The 27,114-nt window shown below is 39.1% G+C and overlaps 1 long non-coding RNA gene across 1 annotated transcript in view, besides 1 other annotated feature; it reads left to right on the forward strand.

The window, feature by feature from the left end:
- Window positions 7,130-10,360: an enhancer, noted in NCBI's record as "VISTA enhancer hs1534". NCBI's record gives its function as "enhancer in: hindbrain (rhombencephalon)[7/7] | midbrain (mesencephalon)[7/7] | forebrain[7/7]" and the evidence as "EXISTENCE:transgenic organism evidence [ECO:0001131][PMID:17130149]".
- The window catches only part of LINC01102 (long intergenic non-protein coding RNA 1102), a 78,411-nt gene continuing 64,949 nt past the window's right edge, over window positions 13,653-27,114 (forward strand). Inside the window, exon 1 of the long non-coding RNA NR_015399.1 lies at window positions 13,653-13,829. This is a non-coding gene — a long non-coding RNA (long intergenic non-protein coding RNA 1102). The remainder of the gene's footprint in view (window positions 13,830-27,114) is intronic.

The raw sequence follows: 27,114 nt of genomic DNA on the forward strand, positions 1-27,114 counted from the left end.
GCCTGTAAACAGGTCAGATGCAGCCCATGATGCTAGGATGGTCTGGAAAAAAAAAAGGGAGCAAAGATTAACATGATTTTGGTTAATTTTAAAGCACTGTGAAAAACTAAATGAAAAACAAAAAAGAGAGCAATGGAACAGGATTTATCAAAAACCTGCCTTCGTGTCCATTGCGTAGTTCTGTGAGTTAACAACGATGACTTGAAGAATATCATATTTCTCCCCCTGCTGCAAATTCTACAAACCATTCTTATCCATCCCCAAACACCCACCTTGGTCGTAAGTTGCAATATCTAATAAGCAGGAATGTAAGCTGGGAGAAGATCTGTGGAAGTTTTTCCTCCTAGAAGCATCCTATCTCAATTGTCATTATTCCCGTTATCCACTAAGGTATGATCAGCAAAAGGCAACATTAGAGCACTTCAGAGCTTCCCAGAAGATATCCCTCACTGGGCAATTCATTGGTCAATCCATGGGCCTATAAGGACACAGTACTCTACTAGACTAACAACGTTGAAAATAAGTTTATTCTTCTTCAACTTCATGCCAAAGTTCACCAATTAGAACTGCCAGGAAACAAACAACAAAAAAAAAGATAATTAAAGACAAGCAGGTCCTGTCCACTGTTTCAACCTTCAGAGTTTACATCTTCAGTTTGTAGTCCACCTTTTCCATTTGAATGCAATATTCTCCATGCTCTTGACCTTCTAGGTAACATACTGCATTGAATCATCTTCATTAACGTAATATAGGTTAATATAGCAAAATAGGCCAGGCGCTGTGGCTCATGCCTGTAATCCCAGCACTTTGGGAGGCCGAGGTGGGTGGATCACCTGAGGTCAGGAGCTCAAGACCAGCCTGACCAACATGAAGAAACCCCATCTCTACTAAAAATACAAAATTAACCAGGCGTGGTGGCTCGTGCCTGTAATCCCAGCTACTCGGGAGGCTGAGGCAGGAGAATCGCTTGAACCAGGGAGGTAGAGGTTGTGGTAAGTTGAGATCGCACCATTGCACTCCAGCCTGGGCAACAAGAGTGAAACTCTGTCTCAAAAAAAAAAAAAAAAAAAAAAATATATATATATATATACACACACACACACACACACACACACTATATATATATACACACACTATATATATACTATATACATATATAGTATATATAGACTATATACATATATATAGTCTATATATACTATATACACTATATACATATATAATCTATATATACTATATACACTATATACATACCATATATAGTATATATACTATATACACTATATACATACTATATATAGTATATATACTATATACACTATATACATACTATATATAGTATGTATAGAGTATATATATACTCTATACATACTATATATAGTATGTATATACTATATATACTGTATATATATGGCAAAATAATGAAGAATAGTTTGCTATATATGAAGCAAAATAATGAGGAATATATACGTATATATATAGAAGAATATATATACGTGTATATGTATATATATATATAGCAAAATAATGAAGAAGCAGGTATCTTTCCTGTTTTTTCTAATACCTCCTCCTCTCAAACACACACACACACCACAATGGTGGCCATTTTTAGAATAAAGAGATGATTTTGAACAGGAAGAACAATATTTTATTCCAAAATATTATGTAAATACGTAATGTATTGATATGATCCATTCCTTTCTTTTTCTCCATGTTTTTGTTTTAATCTCTGTTTTAAAAACTTACACTAAATATTGTTCTTTAAAATATAGTAAATACTTTGATATGTCTTATGATTTAAAGAATTGACAAATTAACTGCTGAATCACTTTCTGTATTCTTCATATGAGACATGCCTTTCTGGTGATACGATTTGGTGACATTAACAGCTAAGGGTAATTGTCAGTAGGACAAGAGACTTACTCCTCATTTCAGGCACACAGACAAGGAACTTTGTCCCATTGTTCCTTTCTGACTTGTATGGGAAAACAACAGTCTCAACACCATAAAATTACCCACAGGAAATGAAGGCATAGGCCCTTGGAGAAATCACACCTTATTATCTGCTTTATCTTTTCTCTTTTGTGCTATATTGTTACCTTAAAAGTCATGACTGTCAAAAATATTTTTTCCATTCTGTTCCCCAGTCTTTTAACACTTATCTTAAGACAGCTGGTGGTGTGGGAAGACAGCAAGCATCTCTCTTATGGGGATGAAGCCTGCCTGCAGTGCTTGCTCAATCCTTGGTCGTAGAAGACCTAGACCAACTTCAGCACAGAGCAGTCAGACAGTGTGCTCCACTTGGTCTCATCAGACTTTTACCTGTTTTCCAGACTTTTACCCAGAATAGCATCTTAGGGACCAGAGGTTTTCCACATTGCCACTGGATAGGAGGTAAGGATCGCCATCATCTTTTCTCTTCTCACAAACAACCTCCTCTACCTGACTCTCCCATTTGCCTTTATGTTTCTCTTGCCCAATCCCCAAATCTCTTTATCTTCAAGGGGGTCTTTCTTTCCTGTTTCCTTTATGAAATTTTAGGGAGAGGAAAGAAAGCATATTTGTTTGGTCCCAGGTAGATGGAGATCCGTCAGTAGAGATGTTGATGGCTGGGTTTCCATATTTGAATGTGCCTTAAAGAACTTAGGCCTGACTGCGAAGATGGGGTATCCACCCTGAGTGACATAGCCCAGAGTCTCTGGACAATGACGCCACTTGCAGTGGGTGAGGGAGGAAATAGCTGCAGCAAACATTTCAGTTCATGGGGTTATAGTCATATTGAAGCAAGACTCATTTCTACCAGCACTGTCATATTCTGGGGCAGATTCCAGCCACCTCCCTTGAAAAGGGGATTGCCATAGGTAACAAAAACTCCACCAAATGTATGCAAGCAGGACTTCCCTGAGGAATTGTACATGGTGCTCTGAGAGTGCATGATAGCACATGACTTTCTCCCGTGCTTATCAAGCTGCACTCTTCCCATTTGCGCCTCCACATTCATGGTCTACTCTTCATACCCAGATTTTAGCTCCTTGTTGCTTTGACCCTCTTGTGTGAACTGCTTATTTGTTGATGCCCAGAATTTTCATTGGGCCAAACCTTTTGGATGTCAGTTTCTTAACCAGGATTATGATTTGCAGACATCAGGGACTCTGGATGGCTTTTCTTTGCCAACCTCCCCAAGTCTTCCCTGGAGCACCCTTCTTCCTTATGCGTTTTCTGACTTTAACACTCAGGTCCCTCCTCTGGGATGCTCCAATTCCTCCCTTTTCTCTGTTCTCATAGCCCCATAGGTGCAACTCTACTTTTACTCGTATTACCTTATGTTGTAGTGACTTGCTGAAGTGATGGTCTATCTTACAAACCATGAGCAATCTAAAAATAGGGAAAATTGGAAGTGCCACTTTTAGTTCAGGACATATAGAAAAGGCTATCAATTATATGAATCCAATATATGTTTGCTGAGTAAATGAGTGAAAACTAGATTTCCTCATCTATGGACTTTATGTAACTAGGAGTTTCCCTGAAATATTCACATAGCTCCATATCTAATTGGCCAAACACTCGAAAATAAAAATTGGCTTAAGTGACATCTATCATTTTGGCTAATTTTAGGAAATACTCTTTAAAGTGGATATATGAGTGTGTTATAGATATTGATTCCAAATTGTGTTTCTTGGCTCGCTACTGATTGTTAATGTAACCTTGGTCATTGTATTCATTTAGAATTTAACTCAATAGCTGTCTATTAAATGGCTGTGCTATATATTTCAATGAACAAATGCATGTGAAAATCCCATTTACTTGTTTACTGCCTACAAGATGGCTTTCTAGAAGAATTAATTGATATATTAGTGTAAGATATAAATTAGATAATAAAATTTATATATTTTAAATTTTTGATTATTATAAATATTTGATCTGCATAAGCTTTTTTGTTGTTGGAAATAAAACAAATGAGCTCCTTCTTTTTTTTTCCTTGAGACGAATCTCGCTCCATCGCCCAGGCTGGAGTGCAGTGGTGCCATCTCTGCTCACTGCAACCTCCACCTCCCGGGTTCAAGCAGTTCTCTGCCTCAGCCTCCCAAGTGGCTGGGATTACAGGCGCCTGCCACCATGCCTGGCTAAGTTTTTTGTATTTTTAGTAGAGACGGGGGTTTCACCATCTTGGCCAGGCTGGTCTTGAACTCCTGACCTCGTGACCCACCTGCCTCGGCCTCCCAAAGTGCTGGGATTACAGGCGTGAGCCACCAAACCCGGCCACAAATGGGCTCCTTCTGATGCATGGTGTTAACTGAATTCCTAGGGAAGACTTTGAGGAAACTTGTTTTCGTGGTTGGAGAAATAACATTAAGATAAAATATTCTTCCAATTTTGTAACCCTTTTTGGTTTTTATAATAGAAAACTTCCCCTGTGTCCTCTTTATCCGTGTGACTAGACTAGTGGTGTCCTTGGCCAATGCAGGTGATACTGTAGCCTTGCAACCAGGAGGCATGTGTGATGAATTCCTTGTTTTGGAGGGAATCAGTTTCTCACTGGGTGCTACTCTGCCTAAGGGCAGGTATTACTAGAATCATAGCTGTCAGTCATGGCCATGGTCCAAAACTTTCTAGGTGAGGTGGCTGGAAAAGGCTACCATTGTGAAACTAGCATTGTTCTTTACTAGCATTGCCCCTCATACCAAGAACCTTGAAATGAATATTTCAAAGTACTCTTTGCAGATTCTGTGAGAATCCTAAGTCTTTTGTGTTTACTCTACTTTCCATATTCTTGATTGGGGCAGTACTAATATTTTTCCTGTGGTCTTGCTTGAGATCATCCTTTTGTGCAATAAAAATAATAATATTTTGAATTTAACTCAATAGCTGTCTGTTAAGTGGCTGTGCTATATATTTCAATGAACAAATGCATGTGAAAATCCCATTTACTTGTTTACTGCCTACAAGATGGCTTTCTAGAAGAATTAATTGATAAGTTAGTGTAAGATATCAATTAGATAATAAAATTTATATATTTTAAATTTTTGATTATTATAAATATTTGATCTGCATAAGCTTTTTTGTTGTTGGAAATAAAACAAATGGATTCCTGATGCATGAAGGAGTATTTTCACCAATTACCTTCTTTTAAAAAGTTATGTAGTTTCACACCTCCTTATTACCTTAGATTTTTGTGTGTAATTCACACTTTATGTATATCCTTCCTGGATTAGAATTTTCAGGTGGAGGATGAGGTGCCCTGAAGTGGGGGGACTTACCCAAGGGTGACACCAACTGTGCATGTAAGAGCAGAGCCTGCAGGGTTTTGATTCTTAGCCCAGTATTTTGCCCCAAATCATTTCTAGTTCATTCCCTGTTTTATTTGTTTATTGCTTAATTCTTATAGAACATGGACAGAGGCTAAGCAGTTCACATCAGCTCACTCAAAGAAGAGATAAAATCGAGTTCTTTCCTTCCTTCTACTTTTTCCCCCAGGTTCTTATATTCTAAAATAGCTAGCTTTAGCAACATGCACTGTCTTTTTCCCAAGGCACATTACTCCTTCGCAAGTGTAAGTTTTAAAAATAGTTTTGCTAAGAAAGATGGATCAGATATGCCATTTGTAAATTAAGAAACTGAGGCAGAGAGTGACTAAGCAATTCGTTCAGGGACATCAGTGACTAAGCACAAGCTCACTTGGACTTTGGAACTTAATTTATTCCAGAGAAGGGCCAAGTTCCAGACTATGCAACTTACACATGAAAAGGCAACCCAAACAAGACTACTTTCCTGAATTTTAAATAGAAATCTTAAATTGCTTGCAAGTAAGCACAAAATTCCAAGTTTTACTGTGCAAAATCCTACAGTATAGGCACACAGATGGACAAATAAAGGGGAAAATGATGAATAGAATGAAAATTTAAAACTCACCTTTTTTTAAACAGTATTAAAATTACATTGTAGGATGCTTTGTGCATATTGGGAGCTAATAAATTTTTTTTGTACTTGTGCACACATTTCTGCATTACCAATACGTAATCAAGGTATAATGAAATATGAATATTCCCCTTTTATGTATTTTAAGTTCAATCATAATTTTCTTTAGTTGTCTGGCTCATCCATGATTCTTAGCAAATGTTACCTAAACAACAGAGATCTGAACAAACCAATCGTAATGAGAGTCGACCTTTGTGTCTTACATTAGAGTGCTTCAAATATGTTGCTGTATGGTATATTTGATCAAGATATGTACACTGTACTACATTTTACATTCCACAGTTTTCAGTTGCCAAGCCAAAATATGGGCAACATTCGAACAGGACAGAACACCTGGATGGGACTCCAAGAAGTGGCCCCAGAGAGTTAAATCCCAGTGACTGCTAGTAGGTGAAAGCAGACAAACACCAAGAAGCCGGTGGTAAGAAACAACAAAGGTCCACAAACCACAGGCTCACCAAGGTGAGCAGAGAGGAATACAGGATGAAAGAGGAAGACCCTCCACACAAAACAAGTCTGACTTTAGGCCAAATACTGTTGCCCTGCAGCCTTTTTCTCTACTCCCTGACAGGGAAGGGTCCTGTGATCATGGTGGCGTGTCCTGGCCTAGCAGGTATAATATAAAAAGGCTTTGAAGCTGGACACAGTATCCTAACTACAGCTGCAGGTGAAATCTACCCTGGAGATGACAGATTTTAGTAAAGCACTTATATCCAGTCACTAGAACCAACCACATACTAGTGTTTCTTCCTAGTTTTCTGAAGATAGGGGTCACATTGTTTCTTGGTTTTTATATTGAACTCCACCTGCATGTAAGTATGTTTGTTACGTCTTACAAATCCAAAGGAAAAAAAACTTTGAATGTTGAAGTAAACACTAAGAAAGTGAAAAGTTTCAAGGATTCTTTAAGTTGGAAACATTACCACAAGAAAATACCCCCCAAATAGCTGTTATTATTTACATACAAAGTAACCTTCCGACCTCCATTGCTAACCTCCTTAGGCTTGACTTTACATGATCCCAGATTCTGAGTTAGTTTATAAATTTTATATCATCACTGAGAAAAGAAAAAAATTGTGAAAAATAGAAAATAAGTAGTATGAAAAGACAAATATTCCACAAAACATTGTATAGAAAGAAACATAACTTAAAACCGGGTGACTATTTAAAACGAATATGAATGAAAATTCTAAGTTTGTATGTTTGTGTGTTCTATTTATATACCTACTTTCCCTCAAAGTAAGGGAAGAAATGAAAGATGTTTTTAACAGCAACCTATCTATAAATTCAAAAGTCTCAGGGTTTAACAGAACTTCATACTATTATGTCTTGGGAAGAACTAAATATATTTATAGGTAAACTTCCCAAAACAAATTATTCCAGGCAATATTAGAAATGAAAAGATCTTTTACCACGAATTGTTTTTCCAGAAAGATATGAATGAATTAACACCAGAAGCTTGAAATGATAATTTTATGTTAATCATCTTCTACATTTCAGAACACTTCAATACTTTTGTGCTTTGGGTATGTGCTCTTGTGTGTGTGTGAGTGTGTGTGTGTGCATTCCTCTGGGTGTGTCTGTGTGTGTGTGTGTGTACACATATAGATGTTAATTATGGATCTGCTTTTCATATACAGGCTGGGTTCATCTTAGCAAATTCCAAACGAAGAAATAAATGTCCTTGATATTCCATTTAATAGACAGTGGGTGGCACCATCTTAAGGAGCAGATGATGTAAGGGTGCATTTGGCACTATTTTCTTTATTTAGGCTACAAACTCTATCCAAATTGTGAAGGACTTTCCACATTAGTAATTAATAGGGCCCCATTATGCTAACTATCATCCAACTTAGGACATCTTAGAGGAAAGATAAGAGATGAATAATTTGAAGTAATTTTCTTGTAATCATGCCAATCACTTGAGCAAAGTAGTTATTAAAGGAAACAGTATTATGATGAATTATAGGACATCTAACACTGTATACCTTTTCTTATCAGCTGCTTAGAGCTTCTGATTCTTAAAAAAAAAAGGCAAACAAGTAGAAGTCTATTCCGAATAACACTCTTCTTACTGTAAATAATAGTTTGTTTAGCAAACCATGAATTTTAATGAGGCTCGAAAGACAGACTTTACCTTATTTCTGTTCATCTCCTTGAAAAGAGCTGAAGTTTGTCAGCTTTACCTTCCCTTAGAAGGTAGATGTAACAAGCGTGAGTCACCTTTGATGACAAGGGATTCTTCCAGTTCAGATTTGCTGAAGTGATTAGACATTATTTATCTAATTAAATGTTCAAAACACATCATTATTGAAAGGAATAAATTTAGTACATTTGTTGAGCAGTGTTAACTGAAATGTAACTGCACATCATTTGACTTTTTAACATTTTATTATATCTATTAAGTCTTTCTTGCTTAATTAAATCAACTTATTTTTTACAGTTAATTTAACGTGATTTCATTTTCGTTACAGATTCTTAATCAGATATTATAGAGAAAGCCAACTGTATACACGAATTAAGCTTCGTCTCCTCAGGTGCTCTCTTGCATTTCATTCAAGTCTGGCATCTTCTGGGGATCACCATGGTTTGAAATGGTTGTTATTTTTCACACAGTAGAAAGCTTACTCTTCATCTTTATTATTATTTTTCAAAATGCAACCATTTTTAAGGCTACAGCGTCATCTGATTTGTACTATTTGGATCCTAGATCACAGCCAGTATTTGGAAGAAACTGTGTTTTTAACGCTCGGAGAAAAAGTAAATAAGAATGTGAAAGTAGGAGCATTCGTTGCTTTGCCCGGGAGCTGTACTTTATTAATTATCCCTATAGGAACAATGGTGTCGAAATAATAACGCTACAGTTCCCGAGAAGGAGCAAAGTATTTGAGTAGCAATAACCACAGGGTGGGCTCCATGGAAGAAGTTATTTCATTATGATTATTATATTCAAATGAGTGTGTCTCAGTGATCAAGAGTTAGCAGTATTCTTTTCTTCACAAGAACCCCAAACTATAAAATGGGGTTGGGGGAGGAGCAGGGTTGAAGCCACAAATGTTTGGTGCCAATCAACTGCAATGAATTGTGAGATGCCAGGATGAAGGCAGCGATTTGGTACATTCAAATCTACCCTGAAAAGTGTTAAAATGGAGAGCGTGGCTGGAAACAAATGGGAAAGGAAGATTCAAAGGTTGCAAGTGGTGGTGGTGGAAAATTCTAATTAGACATTTACGTCAGCTTGCAAAGCTCCTTATTTTCCCCAAATGTTGGAGTGTTTCATGTTCTGTCAGATTTCCATTGAAAGTACTAAAAGGGAAGTTTTCTGAAAGTGTCCTCGAACTATCAGGATAGTGTTAAAAAGGTGGTAACAAAGGCATTTGCTCAAGCTTCCCCATCCCACACCACAGAATAAAATGAAACAAAAAAGACATAAAAAAGAAAAAGAAAGTGAATTTATGTGTGCCTGTGCATCCTCTCCAGCTCCTCCAGGGGCCTGTGAGGTTGATAAGAAACGCCTCACTCCTTTCGCTCGAGGTGCCCATTTCTGGCTACTCTGTGACCACTTGCACTGGCTTTGATTCCCTGGGGTAAGTGTTCATGATCGCAAATTTGGCCAAAAGATTTTTTCATTACCCTCCAACATTTCCTTTCACCTCCAACCTCCAGGCAGGGCCCTGGCTTTCCCTTTGGAGCCGGGAATATAAAGACGTGGGGCCATCGGGCTGACCCCGAGGGCCTTCTGTCAATCATGGCCTCGCCATCTCTGCTCCCTTTCACACCAGGCAGCTGGACCCATCGCTGTCAACCAGGTAACAACCCCCAGACAATAGCGGCCTGAAAGCCTGGTCTAGACACTCTTTTAGCCACTTATTTGCTGCTCTTGGCAGCTGTTGAAGCATAAATAAGCAGTTTGTAATCAGAAAGCTGACATCATCGCAGCTCGGCTGAGAGGGGAGATTGTTCCTGAGCACTGAGCGGGGTTTTTTGTGTGTGTGTGACAACAGATTCTGGGGTGGGGATGCAGATTTGTGCCATGCTAAGCTGGTCTTTCTTTGATTTACAGAAGACAATTGGATCAGGTCCCCGGCTCCAAGGCGCACCAGAATTATATTTTTTTTGTTCAATTCCTGATGGGCAGTAAAATTGAATAATAAATTGGGTGGAAATATGTTGTGGGCTGGGCCTGGGTGAGAGGACAGTAGGGTGGGTGGGAAGTTTGGACGTGAGGCATTTTCCAGGCCGGGGGATGTACATCTCATCAGCCCCTTGAAAGTGGTTCTGTCGCGTGGTTTGGGTGGGAGACACCGAGGAGAGGTTTGGTATTGGATGTATAGGTCTGCATGCTTTGAAAAATGAGTAGTTTCACAAAAGGCAGCAGAGAAGCGGGTGTGTTTATTCCTGCTTTCCAAGTGTGCATGTGTGTGTGTGTGTGTGTCAAGATCAAGTTTGCCATTCAAAGTGATTGGCAGTTATCCTCTTGAAAGGCAGTAGACATGAGCCATTTGCCAGAAACATTGACTCCATCACCTCTACAGCTGACTAGAACCTCTCGTAGGTGTTTTCTTCCCCAAGACTGACTTTGTTATTGGAAGGAACAGAGATGGCAGACGTTATTTATTTATCATAATTGATTTCTTATCATTGTTTTGGGGATATTCCCCAAGGAGAGAAAGCTTCTCTGGTTCCTTTTAACAGTGTGGTTCTGATTGCCCTGATGTCTGCCCACGACATCTGACTCAACATCTATTAGTACCTAGCAGCTGTATACACGCCAAGATGCCACAGAGCTTGCTACCTGAAAAGCCCATTCAGGTGGTTTTGCCCATCTCCAATTTCACTTACGAAAAAAAAAAAGTCCAGTTCCACAAAAATATTGACTTCCTATCTCCCTGAGGGTTTCTGGTATTAGTTTGCTCTAAGTAGCTCATGATTTAGAGTACAAAGGCATTTCCAGAGTGCATGTTTAACAAAATGACATAGCAGATAATTGAAATTTATTTGCAATTTTCAAACTACAATAAACACAATTCTCCTTTTCTTTCATTAATAATCGCACGGCTAATGCATAGCAATCCCTCTGCAGCTTTTACAAGCAAACTTGAGCTGCTGTGTTGTAATAGCTGGAAAAGTTAATGTAGCTTGAACAAGGTTTCTAATTGTCCCTGTCTCTGTCATATTTGTCTACTTGAATGGTCCTAAATACCACAGCGATTAATTACTGCAGAGCAGGTATTACAAGATGTTATCATCCTTCCCCAACTGTCTGGGTGAATGGAGAGAAGCGGGAGATTGTTACAGTGTTTCATCTTTGCTCTTCCTGTAAGGCACTTTAACCAGAAGATTTAACGTGTCAAAGTTAACTGCGTTCTCTAGCAGATATTCACATTCTAATTAAAGATTAAGAACGTAGTACATTACACTGTGATTTGTCATACATGGCTTGTTAAATAGGAAACCTACCGGGATTCCCTAACATTTTATAAACATTATTCAGGGCTTTTAATGTGGGCAAAGCGAAAGATTATTCAACTGCATTGCTGTATGGAAAGCAGGTTGCCCTCTGCTCCCCACTCCCCCCACCCCCGCCAACCCCCAGTAAATAATAAAATAAGACAACTTGGGCAGTTTGGAAACTGTTTTGTTGTGGAGATTTTGTTCAAGCCATGGATCACCTCTGGTTCGTGTTTGGTGGTGGAGGGAAGATCTTAATTACTAACCCTACGCATTTCTCTTTTTTTCTTTCTTTCTTTTTTTTTTTTTTTCTGGTTTTGCTTTTGGCTGTCAGCTAAGTAGAGGAAGGTAAGAGTCTTTGTTTGAATTAGAGTGCCAAAAGACGGAATAAAGATGAAACAGTGTTTCAGTATGCAGCCTGAGCTTTCAGCTGATTCTCGTAGCCCTGATCCTACCATATCCAGTACTAGTGGCACAGGACCGCTTCACATTCTATGATTGCCTGAGGAATAAATTAATGAGGTTACTGAGACACTGAACATTTGCATATTCACGGATGCTTATTAGGTAGAAAGTGAAAGCCAGGTGCACTGAATTTGGGGGATAGAGAATTTGTTAAGAAGTCACATCTTTCCGTCCTCCAGAAAAGGGGTGTCCTGTCACTAAAAATAATAGGCAGGCAAAACTCCTGCTTAGTGAATATCTGAACAATTATGATATAATGGAAAGATAAGGCAAAAGAGGGTCTTGCTTGAAAGCAACAGAGAAACCAAGGCACTGCCCTTGTTATAAGGAGACCTGGACGTGGTGGTTCTGGAGCATAAAGGAGGCACATGTTATTTGCTGTCTTTGGATTTTATGCTTTAATTATGCTGGTGGTGTACACAGCTGAACATGATGCCTTTGTACCTAATGCAAAATTACCAATTTAAGAAGACCTTTACATTTGTAAATATTATTATTGACAGGCCACCCATCCAAACTGGAACGGGGAAAAGCTTTTCTAAGAAAATGGTGTCGAAACCTGAATCACAGAATTAGGCTTGACTGTCTCTCTAAGGGACATCAGTACATGGTTCTGCTGTTGGTGATTTCTGCTGGGGCTGTGTGTGGAAGCACATTGTTTGAGCTATTTGTATCTCATTATTGTGAGAAGTTTTTATGCTGCTCTGGGTCATGGCTTGGAGACTGCCTCCTCAGAGCTTAAATGGGCAGATTTCATATTCTTCCCATCCTTGGGAATACTTCATAAAACAGAATTACAAGAGTCCATGTTTTTTTCGGAGCACCGTGCAGTGGGAGAGCCTGTCTTGCCTTTTTTTTTTTTTTTTTTTTTTGCTGTCGTTTTATACAGGTATTTTTTTTTCTTTCTATTTCTTTTTTCTTTTACTTTTTATTTCCTCTTTAAAGAAAATGATTGGCAGCACTCAACCTCAAGGAACTGATCTATCAAAACCAAGCTGGGATAAGTATTTCTTTGAGAAATAATATATATTTACCAACAGGCTCTATTCTGCCCCCTTGTTTCACAGCACCTTGAATATCACTTCCTTTTCCTGCCCAAAGCAGGAGGTAACCCTGTATTAAAAGCATAGTAGGTGTGTGTGTGTACAATACACACATACAGCACACATGTCTCTATTTAGAGATTCCATGATATGTGTTCTATATACACTTTACAGTCCCTTTTCTTAATGTCAAAAATATAATTTCCAGCGTCTAAAGAGTGTTTTCAAAGACTTTTGCCCTATTTTTTAAAATAGTGTCTAAATATGATTAAGTGTCTTCCCAGAGAAAAGTCAAAGAGGCTCCTAGTGTTAATTTCCATATTGCTTAAGACTTAAGCTTTTAATTTATTTTATCAAGGTTGAGGGAGTATAGTAATTGTTGGAACAACGCCCTTCCAAAAGAAATCGCCTGCACTTGTTTTTAAGTTCAATTTGTTTTCTCACACAGATTTTTGATACACTCTTAAATAAACTAGAAATCACAATTATTTTAATGTGGCAGAGTTGTAACCAGGAAATTGCATATATTTTCATAAACTAGGCTGTTATAGATTTATTAATATTTATTAATAACATTATTTTAAGAAATTTTTTTAACGTCTTTCAACCCTGAAAGGGCCTGCTTGAAACATACACGGCAGCAAAATCACTGGAGTCCAGGGTTTTTGTCACACACACACACAGCACAGATTTTTTTGATTATGTAGATTTCTTTTCCTACTGCAGTTTCATATGCAAAGCATGCATCAGCCACATCCATGCTATCTCCTAAAGCAGTCATTCTGAAACCCAATCTGGGGACAGTGCAGACTAAATAAAATTTCATTTTGATTTGGCCTCCCGCTGCGAATGGGACTGCTTTGTCTCAGCCGACAGAACCAGCAAGCCAGAAAGGTATGTCCTGTTTTGCATGGCTGATGGTGTGTCTTGCGGCTCACAATCAGGCCGCCTTGCTCCCGGCTCCTCCACTTCCTGCTTCTCTTTCTCTTTCCCCTTCCATTTGCTCCCGTGCTGCCTGCCTTCTACCTGCAGGGCACAGCCGTGGCAAACCCGCACCGATTGTTTACTTTGGCATATGCTTAATGGCGCGCGTGGCTGTTTGCTTTTTTTTTTTTTTTCACTGTCTTTGTTGGTGGTGGCTTTTCTTTTTTCTGTTTTGGTTTTTGTTTTGCTTAGCTTTCCTCGCCCACATTGGCTTTCCCTGTTTCTCAAGGTGTGGAATACTAAAATACTGACTGAAAGGAAAATTGTATAGGCGCTGCTGTGACGCTCCAGAGATTTTACTGGAAGATTTGTCATGCTGATTTTATTGTAAATTTGAAGATGCATTTAACAGCTTTGAAGGACCTTAGCTTCTGTGGCCCTTTGAGCCGCTTTGGCAGAAAAGCAATCGCCCATTTTAGAGAAGGGGGGGAAATAGAGAATAAAGACTCTCCTCCAATGGGACTGAACTGTTTTGCCATCTTAGTATGTTTTATAAAATGCATTGTGGTGTTTTCCTGAAGAGCTGCTAAATATGGCTCTGCTTTAAACAATGACCTTCATTGGGAGTCATCTCATGAGAGACTGGGTTGTGTCAAATGCTCTTCTTACACTTGTCCCACCTTTAGGAGAATGTACTAGCAATCAGGGACAACCTGCTGTGATGTTCTCAGAAGAAGCTTTAGATAAGATGGCGAAGCACCAGGGGACTGACAGTGGTGGGAGCTCAGTTTTCAAGCCCAAATTTCTCCTTGAAATTGTCATTGCCCTTGACCAATTCATAGGGTGCTATAAAGGAAAGAAGTTTTTTCCCTGGCTCACATATTGGCATATCATTAATCTAAATTAAATTACAGCAAACTGGTAAAAGTGGAGATAGAGTAAACGACAAATAAATTGCTTAAGAGAGGAGCAGAAAGGAAAGTTCACTCTGACTCTGGGGTTCTGCCTAAGTAATTCCACATAGGATATAGATTAAAAGATGAAAAGTACCAATTAGCTTCATAGGGACCTCACCCCACTCATCCAGAACAAAAACAAAATAAGTCACAACATGTAACTTTGTAGAGGGTCAAAAATTAACTTTTGTCAATCCATAATGTTGTAGCCATTCCAGAGTTTTGAGGGGAGTGGTGCTCCAGGGGTACTTCCAGATGCCATTTCTGAAATGTAATGGCTGAGGTCTTTGCCGTTACAATAAATTATCCTTTCACCACAAAATCTCTCAGTTCACTATTTTGCACCTGTTAGCTAAGCGCTTTGGGAGAGAAGAGTCACCAAGACCTTTAGTGATTTGTTGATAGACTCCCTACTTATTACATACAACAGATTGAAGAACAAAATGAAAGTTAGTTAAAGAAGACGTTGAAGAAACAATAGTGTGAAAACAGCACGAAATGTCATTTGGTAAATATGCCACAGCCTCACATAAGGAAGAGGAAAATGGCAGTGTGGGCCATGATTGGCAGGTCTGGATCCATAGACTGTGATTTCCAGGATCACCCAACAGTAAGTCTTTTTGCTGTAGCCTTACCATCAGGGCCACTTTCTTGTTTCATAGCTATTGATGATATTGAAAAGCCCAAATTTGCTTTTTGTGCAATTTGTCAGTGCTTTTATAGGATCCATGTGTTGGAATTTTAGGGACTTCTTTAGGTAACTAAGCGAATGTTTTAAGAAGTAAATTCTGCTATGCTGCTACACCGGCTGTCTTAAATACAATTATTTAGCAAGAATAAAGTACTTTTTAAGAAAATTCAAATGCAAACACTAGTTTTGGAACACAAGGTGCTCAAAGAAGATTTATTTATCAATAAAAAAGGTATAGGCATATATGCTTACAGTATGTGTGTGTATATGTGTATAAATATATACACATAGATCTAATACATCTAACATATTCATATACAGAGACTGAACCAATGATGCTGTTAAACAGTCACAAAGCTTATCTTGAAGATTAAAATCAATAAATATATCAACAAATATAGCTAGCAAAGTTCTAAACTATAGTTTGATTTATCATATCATACATGTAATACCATGTATAGTTTGATTTATCATATCATACATGTAATATACACCAAAGGTTTATGTTAAGTGATATAATATTTTTATTAATTGATGGGTTCCTCTTGAACTCCATCTATAGGAGGCAAATTATTATAGTACAATTTAAGCTATCATGTGATTTGGGAAGATGGACTCCACAATGCCTTAGCATAGGTCTGTATATCTCTGCTTTTGGTGTCTGTTATGCCTAATGCAGGTCGTCTTCCAAGTTTCAGTCCATATGTTCCAAACACATGATAGCTCAATGCATCTGCAAGCACAACACATAATAACCTGATAGAAATACTGAAGATAAAGACTGTCATGGTGACTCCTGGCATGTGAGTTTAGTTTCTATGCCTTTTGTTTGCTAATATTGTGATGACCATAATCTGATCTTACGTATTTCATTAGCTGAACCCCTCTCCAAGTAAGAGAAACAACACTAGCTGGAGTGAAATGTAAATTGTGGCGAGAGACAGAGAATTCAGTTTTCTATCCACCCTTCTACCCTACCCTGTCTTGGAAACAGTGAGGGTGCTCAAGTATTCTCTGTGGAGGGAATGAACGAGCGTGTGAATATTGCTGTTGGAGCACATAGAAGAGCGGGAGGCGCTTGTACCAGCAGGAGCCTGGCTCCACATCACCTAGCTCTTAGTACTCATGAAGGGAGGAAAGAGATTTGAGAGACACCAATTCTCACTTTTAGGCCCATATAAACTCCCCAGGCCTGTGGACCCAGTGAAAATGTATGTGCGTTTTTCAAAGGAAATAACTTACATGACGCAGGCAAACTGGGCTGAATAGACACCCCCCAAATGTTAAGGATTTATGAGTTCTAAGCAGGTCAGATCCAGCCACGGAAGAGTCATGAGTGGCAGAGGAAAGAGAATCATAACATTCTCTGGAAAGGTCAGTATGGAAAAAAAAAAAGAACTCTATGTATTTACATGTATTTGTTTATTTATACTCTGTAACTACTTTCTGATTACAAAGAACACATACCATATGGAAAGACTAAACAGAAGCAGCATTTTAAAAAAGTCAGTTATGTGGAAAATTCATTTTTGACTTCCGTAGGCAAGGTAGTTAAAACAGAAAACAATAAAGAGAATGCTAGTCAGAAGCCAGCTACTGAGTTTGGGTGAGGTATTACCGACAAAACATCTTCGAGTTACTTCTCAAAGCACGATGCTAGACTTGGAGTACAACTGCATATGTTGTTTTAATACAAATAGTTATATTTGATAGAAAGATCTTTTATTGTACCAGTTTTAGTTAGAGAAAAACTCCCTGCTATTAAGATGTATATGGTAATAATAGATGACTTCTGAGATCCAGAGACTACATCAAGAACATCAAACACTCAGATTTTAGGATTAGGAAGCCTTGGGAAATCCCCATAGTTCACCAGATTAGGGCAGGTATTGGGGTGAGATTAGTCACTGAACAATTTCAAATCTAATTTTACTGTGGGAGAGAAGACTTCTACTTGACCTATCAGATCACAAGTTGTATCATCTCATCAGAGAAATTCTGTAAAGTGTGTCTTGTCCACACATGGAAATAATCTTAGACCTCAGTATTTCATCTCATGGACATGTCCAGCAAATCTTAAAGCCTGGAAAAAGCTGATAGCCTAGATAGTCTTCATAAGTGCTTGTCCTCAAAACATGTAAGAATTAACCCAACCTTTCTTACAAAGCCCACATCAAAATGGCCATTGTCCTTGTCACATATTTAGGCAGAGAGAGGCCCTCTGGTTAAGCTTCGTGGGCTACTCTTGGTTAGTTGAGGCATGGGTGCTGCTGTCAGGATAAGACAGCGCCACAGCAGCCACTGGGGATGGACCTCTGGCCAGTGAGCTGGATTGAACTCATGGCGGGGACTCAGAATTCTACAGACAAAGAGACCTGAGCCAAGACCACAGCCACAGGAGGAGTTGCATACTCTTTCCCTATCACTCTATGCAAGCCAAAGTAAAGGACCATGAGCTCACCAGCTCCAGACTGTGGCCAGGAATGCAAGCAGGCTTCTAGAGATCAGATAGGAAGTGGATTCAGCAACGGGAGTGTCAGAAGATAATGCAAGGGCTCCACATGAATCTGAGAAGTCCTACTTACTCTCATAGCCAGTAGGATCCATTAATTGCATTCACCTTTCCTCACACACCAGGACATCATCTTAGGGGAAGAAGCAGGGGGGTGAATACATAAGAGATTGGGCATTTTATCCAAATGGAAGAATGAACACCAACTGAGAAAGACAGCTTAAATTATCAGGCCTGACAGCTCCAAACTTGATGGGAATTTAATTAATTTCTCTTCTCTACCTCATTCACTACTGATTGAGGGCTTGGGAAGGAGCCTAGATAAGCTGCAACCAATATAAAAAAAAAAATTTTATTTTTATTTTATATACAAGAGGTATTGTGATAGAAATTCTGTAACCCAGCTACACTTAAAAGATCCTAGATTTTCACTTAAATGTCTGCCATCAGTGATCCAAGGAAATGTTAGAAACTTCATATGCCAATCTGAGCATCAAACAAGTATTGGTTGCAATAAGTCACATTAATCTTCTTCAGTACCTACCATGCAATATAACTCTAACTCCAGAGGATAAGGTGCCTGCAGTGTATGGATTTCTCACAGCTATGTCTCTATTTCTTGAAGGGATATTTGATGCACAAAAGCTGGTCCCAGTAGTACTGCCAATATCTCAAGTCTAAATCCCTGGCCTAGTTCATGGACCACGCTCAACAGGGGCCCAAACAGAACCAGTTTCTCTCTCTGAGAAATTTAAAATTTGAAACATAGAAGGCCACTTGCAGGGGCTTGTTGAAACTGAGTGCATTCACATCAGCACAGCAGAAGACACATGAATTTTATTTCTTATTCCAGAAGACCTAGAAGCCAGCTGCCTTTCTTCTCCTTCCACAGCCTGGTTGGTCAACTCATGTCGAGTTCCTTGAAATGCCACAGTGTTATCTTAGTCAATATCCTCCCTTCTGCTTAAGTTTGTGAGAGTTCACTTCTGTTGTTTTCAACTTAAGCGTATTCTATGCTACCTATGAACGTGTGAGAAAAATTCTCACAAATCAGTATAACATTTGAGAACTTCCACTGTGTAGTCTAAGGAAGGAAGAATAGAGATGGTGAATGCTCACTTAGTCTTGGACTTGTGCCCACATACTAAAACTGAAGTGTTGTTGAATTTGGTAACGGTTGTAAATGTTCACTATTTCAACCAGACATTTTCTAGAAAGGCACATAAATGCCTTCAGGAATGCCAATAGTTTATAACACAAGGATGTCATCTTACAGAATTAAGTGTTTTAGGGTATTGTCCATAGAGTAACTTTCCAAAAGTTATGCAATGTTTCTTCTATTCTATTGGTATGTTTATTCATGTAAAACATGTATCAGATTGACTGTAAGCAGAAAACTAACTTAGAATTCAAGATAAACTCAAAAGAATCAAGCAGTATCATAACATTGAAGAATAAAGGCAGAACCAAGCCACTACTATAGAGATCTAGACACAATCAGGATCTAATTATTTCCTACATAGAGACCAAGGCGAGAGTTTTGGGATACTCAAGGAAAATGAAGAGAAACCTCAATTTTTAAAACATAAATTATTTTGAAGTTTCGCTACTAAAACATGGTCTTTAGACAGTGCTATTAAATCAAATTTCTCTCCTGGGGAGAGAGGAAAAGAAAAGCCACCCAGCCTGCCTCACACAGATCAGGTGTTGCTCAAGTGATGAGGAGAAGGTTTAAAAATATTTCTTCTGCTTTTCATCCAGAGCAGCCTTCCAACACTTCGAAGGAACCCCAATTGGTAATTGAAAAAGAATAGGTAGTGTGATTAATAAGGCATAAAACAAGGCTTGGTCCTCACTTGAAAGTCCACCTTGTAATGTTTTATGTATTATAGAGTAACACAAATTGTTAGTACTATCATACATACATATATATGTAGATAGGTAAAATAGAAGAATGAATATAGAAATAGACTACTGTAGGGGAGAAGGCTTCATCCCATTGTTTCAATGGTTTGTTCTGTGTCTGTGCAAAGGGCAAAAGAAGGTGAATGTAGCTGTACCATTATCACCCGCCCACATTAAGGATGCATTTAATCCCCTCTAGTCCATTACAGACTGCTGTGCGTTTCACTTCCAGACTATTTATGCTTATTAAAAAAAAAATCCTTGAATCTTTCAATATTAAAGAAGGTTTTAAAGGAAAACAATATGTTTTGGAACTGACATATTTTTCAAAGAAGCAGTAACTATTTATGGGCCAGCTAAATGATGACTGAAAGTGTTTTTTTCTTACCAGCTATCTATTATCTATTAGTATTTGGAGAGCGTAAACACTAATGAAGGTGAGGAACTAGGTGAAACAAGGGGATAGGGTTTAGAGTAATGGGATGAAATTAAGAAAGGGGAAATTTAGGTTGATTACCTATTACCAATTGAACATCTTCTTAATGTTGAGGTCTATTAGACTGTAGGGTAATCTTCCAAGGGAAGTGGTGGGACTCCGATTGCTTAGATGTTTAAAATTAGAGTGGACAGAGCACTATCAAGAACACCCTGTGGTGAAAGATCCACCCCGTTGTGTGGAATGAGTGAGTTCACCTTGGTTGCCTTTACAGGCTCAAGCTTCCGTGCGGCCTGGGGAGAGAGGGGAAGCAAAGCCACTCGGGCCTGTCCCACACAGATCAGGCTTCGCCCAGGTGATGAACGGAAGGGTTTAAAAATATCTCCTCTGCTTTTCATCAGGAGCAGCCTTCCAAACACTTCGATAGGAACCCCAACGAGGCAGTTATGTTGGCAACAAACACGTTCCCAAGATACGCTTTCCACCTGAACAACTGACATCTTTCTGAGTCTTAACAAAAAACAATATTTCATGTCATGTGGCACTCTGACTTTCAGTAAAGTAAAAATTAGAGTGGCTACCAAGTGACTTTGTAATAAGATGCCTATCAGGATATTTGTGGGTGTATATGTTTTCTCATTCCTGAAAGACAAAGGTATAGAGGGAACGGGAGATGAAAAAGAGAGTTTGGAATTGAGAGAAAACAGGTCTGATTAGTAATTGATACAAACCCTGCCATGTTCCGGAGTCCTACAAAGGTTAATATCAGTGGTTGCTTCAAGAGTAGGCATTTCCCTTTGTTCCCCAGGGAGCCCGTCTCAATACCTGCAAGTCAACTTCAGAAAAGGGTCTTGAATTTAATGGGAACATGTCTGAAAATTATGATGTTAGAGCAGATGCAGTTATATCCTCTCATTTTAATGAAATATTATTTTGTGCTCTTTGATAGGCCTTCTGTCAGTAATAACAAAGTGGGAAAGAATATTAGATCCACATGGTATTAGATAGTGTCTTTTCAGAATACTTTATTATTCTGGGTTAAATAAGAATATCTAGCTTCAAAAGAAAGCCAGAAAAATTATGACATGAGCTAAGGCATACCTGTATATAAATTGTTGATCTGAGGGGATGGGAGGAGCCAGAGACGTGAGTGATGAAAATCAGACACGCAGCACCCCATAGCCTCTCATATCTTGAGGTGATACCGGAGAGTCGAAACATCAAGCTGAGGGCAGAGACAGCTTGTGTCCTGGAAGTATCTATTAAGTAAAATGGTCTTCTCTGTGAGGCCGAATGCCAACAGGCCCCTTCTTCCTTCACCTCTGCTCTACCTGCCTAGTAGCCAATGGTTACAGAAGTAATCCTTAGTCTACAGAGAAAGTAATTTGGGGCAAGAAGAGATAAGCATAATGCAGGGCTTCCATTTCTCCTTTGACAAGTGTGTGTGCATGAAGCAGGAGAGTTAAGAGAAGAGATTACAATTGTATCTTACATGTTCCGTGGGCCATTCTGGTTTCCCATTTCCTCCCCACAATGAATTCTTTCTGTTCATATGAGTTTAATGTTTTTTCTTGATTACACATTTCGGCAAGCTAAGTCAGTCAATAAAAATACCTAACTCCTACCAACTAGTTTCACACATGAAACGAATATTTTCCAGAAAAAAAAAAAAATCTTTTTTTTTCCCTTTGGGGGGAAAATTTCCTCAGAAACTTGTGGTTATACACAAGGAAATATATGTTTCAGAGTTCACTTACATGCAAACTATTACCTTTTTTTTTTTTTTTTTTGAGATGGACTCTCATTCTTGTTGCCCAGGCTGGAGTACAGTGGTGTGATCTCAGCTCCGTGCAGCCTCCACCTCCCAGGTTCAAGCAATTCTCCTGCCTCAGCCTCCCAGGTAGCTGGGATTACAGGTGCGTGCCACCACGCCTGGCTAATTTTTGTAATTTTTAGTAGACATGGGGTTTTGCCATCTCGGCCAGGCTGGTCTTGAACTCCTGACCTCAGCATGATCCACCCACCTCAGCCTCCCAGAGTGCTGGAATTACAGGTGTGAGCCACCACGCCTGGCCACATTCAGCCTATTGCTTAAACTTGTTGCTTAAAACAAGCCCCACATTGGTGGTTATTTATCAGGAATGATATTTTGAGATCAACTGTTACCTCTGCTCTGAGATCAAGGTGCCCAGCAGTTGACAACGTGTCCTGACCACAAGGCTGCGGCCAACCTCCAGAAAGCGGCGCTGTGACTGCACTACCCTCTGAGTGTGCCAAGGCTCGCAGCAGTTTCCACATCATAAGCCAAAGAGAGACCAAACTGGAGAGGAAGTGCAAAAACACCACATCCACATCTGTTTTCCATTCTTGGCCAAGCTGACAAAAGAGGTGCCTAGGTGACAAGCTAAATTTTTCAAAATAAGAAAGCAAGTGGTTTGCTTTCATAAAAGTGATTGCTTGTAATCCCAGCACTTTGGGAGGCTGAGGAGGGTGGATCACGAGGTCAGGAGATCGAGACCATCCTGGCTAACATGGTGAAATCCCGTCTCTACTAAAAATACAAAAAATTAGCCAGGCGTGGTGGCGGGCGCCTGTAGTCCCAGCTACTCAGGAGGCTGAGGCAGGAGAATGGCGTGAACCCGGGAGGCGGAGCTTGCAGTGAGCCGAGATAGCGCCACTGCACTCCAGCCTGGGTGACAGAGCTAGACTCTGTCTCAAAAAAAAAAAAAAGTAATTGCTTTTGGTCAAGATTCCAGCCTCCTAAAGAATGCGTGTGTGCTCACATTCTGAGAAATTCCAAGATCATCAGTTAGGGAATCTTAAAGTCAAAATACGGAATCTAAGTAATGTTATTTATCTGAAACAAAACCAACAAGCCTCACTGCAGAAAAAGCAACACTCCTGGAAATATTTCAGTCACTCAAATTTACCTTCACAATGGATATATCCAGTATTAACACTTCCAAATGCTTACTTCTTATGTTCAATCAAGGAGATAATTTTTTTCCTAGATCTGAACTTTGTAATATACTTTTTAAGATGATATTAGTTTATATGTAAACATAATTTCAATTTCAAAGCACACGGATGTTATTTTTACCTTTTAAGAAATGTTCAATTTTTATTAACAAAAAATAAGTTGATTTAATTATAGCTTAGTTTTATTTAACCGACTGGTAAAAGAAAAGTTAAGTTGAAGCTATGCATCAATACAGTTCACATTTCATAATAAACTTGTTCATAAAAATATATTTTGAAAATCATTACCACTTAATGTATTTTCCATCATACTTGCTGAAGTAGGCCTTCAAATGGGAACAGAATATTCATGCCCCATAAAAATTTTGATGTCATCTTTTGGAGTGGAAATTAGAGATACCCCCATACTGATTGTTTTGTTGACAGGTAGAGTGTTTAGAGTTTATTTTTCAGGACATCCTTTATGTTCCAGCGATCTCTTGGAATTCTAACTTCTCCCTGTGACTCATGTATGCTCCACCCCCGCTTAGATACACCACAAACAGCCCTGGCTGCAGTTGGCATGAATTGTGCTTTCTCTCTATTGGATCCTTTTACCAACATCTGTTAAAGCTTTAAAGGACTCACTCACAAACCCATGCGTGGGTCTTAGTATCCACAAAGGTTCTAGTAGCTTTGCTCCTCCTTGAAGTCTTCCTGGAATGGCTTCCATTTGCTTGCGTGGTAATATGCAGTATCTGAATAGCAGCTGGCAAAACAAAGAAGTAAGACAAGGCCGGCATTCACTGTGAGCATCTCCAACTGATAAGAGTTCGTTCCAAGGTGTGTCTCTGTGGCCTTTGAAATGTGCTGGCCTCTAGGCTGATCCCTGAGAAACCCTACATCAAAGGTCAGCAAAGCCTCAGCTTACTCCACATTGCAGTCCTCTCATTCAAATTTAGAGGAGGCCCTCTGTCATAGGCAGGCCGGGTGTGGCTGTCTGTCCTTTACAGATGAGGAAAGGGAAGCATTCAAGCTAAGTGTCATTTCCAAAGTCACAGAACCAGTAAGTAGCATGAATCAGCATTCAAACAAAGTGTTTTGACTCCATGCTATTTCTTAGCTTATCCTCTGATTAACTTAGTCAAAATATGTCCTTCTACTTTTGGTTAACAAGGGAGGATTTGAGTCAGCATCTCAAAAGTGAGGCAAGAAGAAGCTTAATAATACTAAACGTCAGAGACTACGGTTTAGTCAAGTTTTGTATTCCTGCCCCACCATGGCACCACAGTCAATGAAATGGATGAAGGCAGATGCAAGGGAGGAAGCACACAAGAGTGGATAAAATTCACTAGTTAAAAACTGCTTTGCAAATACGTGCAAAAAAGATTATGTAATTTTGCTGACAAGATATACATGTGACCAAAAAAAAATAACATCAGCGCTCCTGAAAGAGCATTAACAGTCCCCCATCTTAAATCGTAGTTGGAGTCAGGATCAGCTGCAAAATTTGTGGGCCCAGCGCAAAATGGGAATGTGGGGCCCCTTGTTCAACAATGATGAAGAGTTTCAAGACAGTCATGCTAAAGCATTAAACCCAGCATGGGGCCCTGCGTGACTGCAGAAGTCCCACACCCATGAAGCCAGTCATGGGCAGCATCACCTTTTCTGCATGTTAGTCAGTTCTGCTTCAAGGACCAGATTTCAAGCTCAAAGTAAAGGAAAACTACCTACCAATTAGGGCTGTTTACAAATAGAGCAGATTGCTTTGTTAAGCAGGTGTTTGCCCTTCAGTGGAAAGTTCAGACAGAACCTGGAAGAACATCTGTCAAGGATGTTGAAGAAGGGATTGATCCCCACGTTAGGACAGAGCCAGATTTGACCTCACAGGTCCCTTCTCATGCTAAGATTCTGTGAGTCAGATAATTTTCATCATTGTCAGATTTTTTTAAAAGAGCCACGTTATGTGATTCATTAATGCCACTGAAGAAGCCTACCAGATTTCCCGATACCTTAAAGAGGTACCATAACATCTCAGTGCCGGAAAGTCTTGTCATTATGGTCATTTGATAGAGTAAACGTGTCTGTACACACCTGAGCATTGACAGTATCTGCACAGTTTGAAAGGTGCTTGATAATGGACCTGACAGACAGCAAAGGAGGCTTGGGTATTTGATTGCTTCAAAATCTGTGTGTCTGTCGATGCTATGCAAAGCTTAAGGTCCACTTGCAGATGAAGTCTCACAACTAAAACTTTTTGGTCACTGTGAGTCTGTGGTGTCACTGTAATTGTGGTGTCATTACACAGAGAAGCTAAGAAACTAGAAGGAAATATTTGAAAGTGCCACAGTTATAATATTGACATAAAAATTAAGGTGAGGGTCCACAGTTAAAAAATAGCAATTGCAGGATCCCCAAAGAAACCAGGCCACACATACAGTGGAGTAAAAGAAACTAGTCAGTTTCTCAACTCACATTGGATCCTAGGACCAAAGCAACAAGAAAAGTATGAAACTACCAAAGTCTTACCGTTTTGCCCACGTAACAGAATCATTAACAATATTAACATCTTATACTTTTATGGAGTCCCCTCAGGCTGTTCAGTTGTTTTAAATCTACTTAACATGAGTGAAATTCACCCTGGCTAGGAGTTAAGTTGATGTACTCCTGTTTGCATCCAAAGCCGTCATCCAATAGCATTTGCCATTGCCATTTTGTTAATAAAATAAGAATGGCATGGGTTTCTAGCATCCTGGATTTTTTGTTGAGCAAAGCAGCACGGTGCATGAAAGGCATGTCAAGAGATGTGACGTAAATGGAAATGGCAGAGTAGCATAATGCAGCACAACAGGTGCACAAAATAGATGTTCAAAATGGTTTCTATTATTTGGCTTTTTTGGAATCAAATCAGAATCAAGAACAATAGTGGCCATTTCAGATAAATTACTTCTGCACATTCTTGCAGATTGAGCAGCTGTAAAGGAGGGGAGGGGGAAGTTTGGGGTGCTTGCTATTTGGAAGGTGGATGCAAATACATTTGTAATGTGTATACAGTATACTCTGTATATTAAATTTTTGCCTTTCATGTGCAATGATAAAAGTAGTTTTCCTTGCACGATTGCATGTTTCATTAATACTACATTTTAATAATTAAAAAGCACAACTCTAGAGGCAATAGCTAACATAAAAGTTTACAGACAATCCATTATTTTTCTCAGACAGTCCTTCTGAAGAGCCCATGGAGATGTGGTTTAATGATTTAAGTTCTAAAATGGGTTGTTTAATAAAATATTGGGTGCTTATGTAGTTTTGTTCCAGCAGGCATTATCTTTTCTTTTGTCAGGTGTGGTGTTATTAATGATAGGAGGTGGGGTGATGGACGGGTGCTCCCCTCTGCTCATCATTATCCACTTCTGCCCACTCTCTGGCTATTTTTGTTGCATTATGGTTACTATTTGTAATTTTTAATGTTGGGAAAGGAGAGGTTTGTTGTCTTTTTAATCCTCTTTGCTAGCATATTCTATTTTATTAGACATAATTCAGAGGAAGAGAGAGAAAGGGAGGTGGACATTGGTTAAGGGGGATATATAATTGGGTGTAGTGGGATTAAACTATTATTAGTGTACACTTCTAATGGATGCCCCATAAAGAACCTATGGCAAAGGCATTAATGAGTTATGAAGGAAGAGTAGGCAAGCTGAACAGTGTTCCCATTATCACAATCCTACCGATACACACACTGTTCAGCAACTCCCTGAAAGAAACACCAGACTCCTGATGTATTTAAGCAGAGTAAT

Source organism: Homo sapiens, chromosome 2, assembly GCF_000001405.40.
Source record: "Homo sapiens chromosome 2, GRCh38.p14 Primary Assembly".
In the NCBI taxonomy this organism is placed as follows: domain Eukaryota; kingdom Metazoa; phylum Chordata; class Mammalia; order Primates; family Hominidae; genus Homo; species Homo sapiens.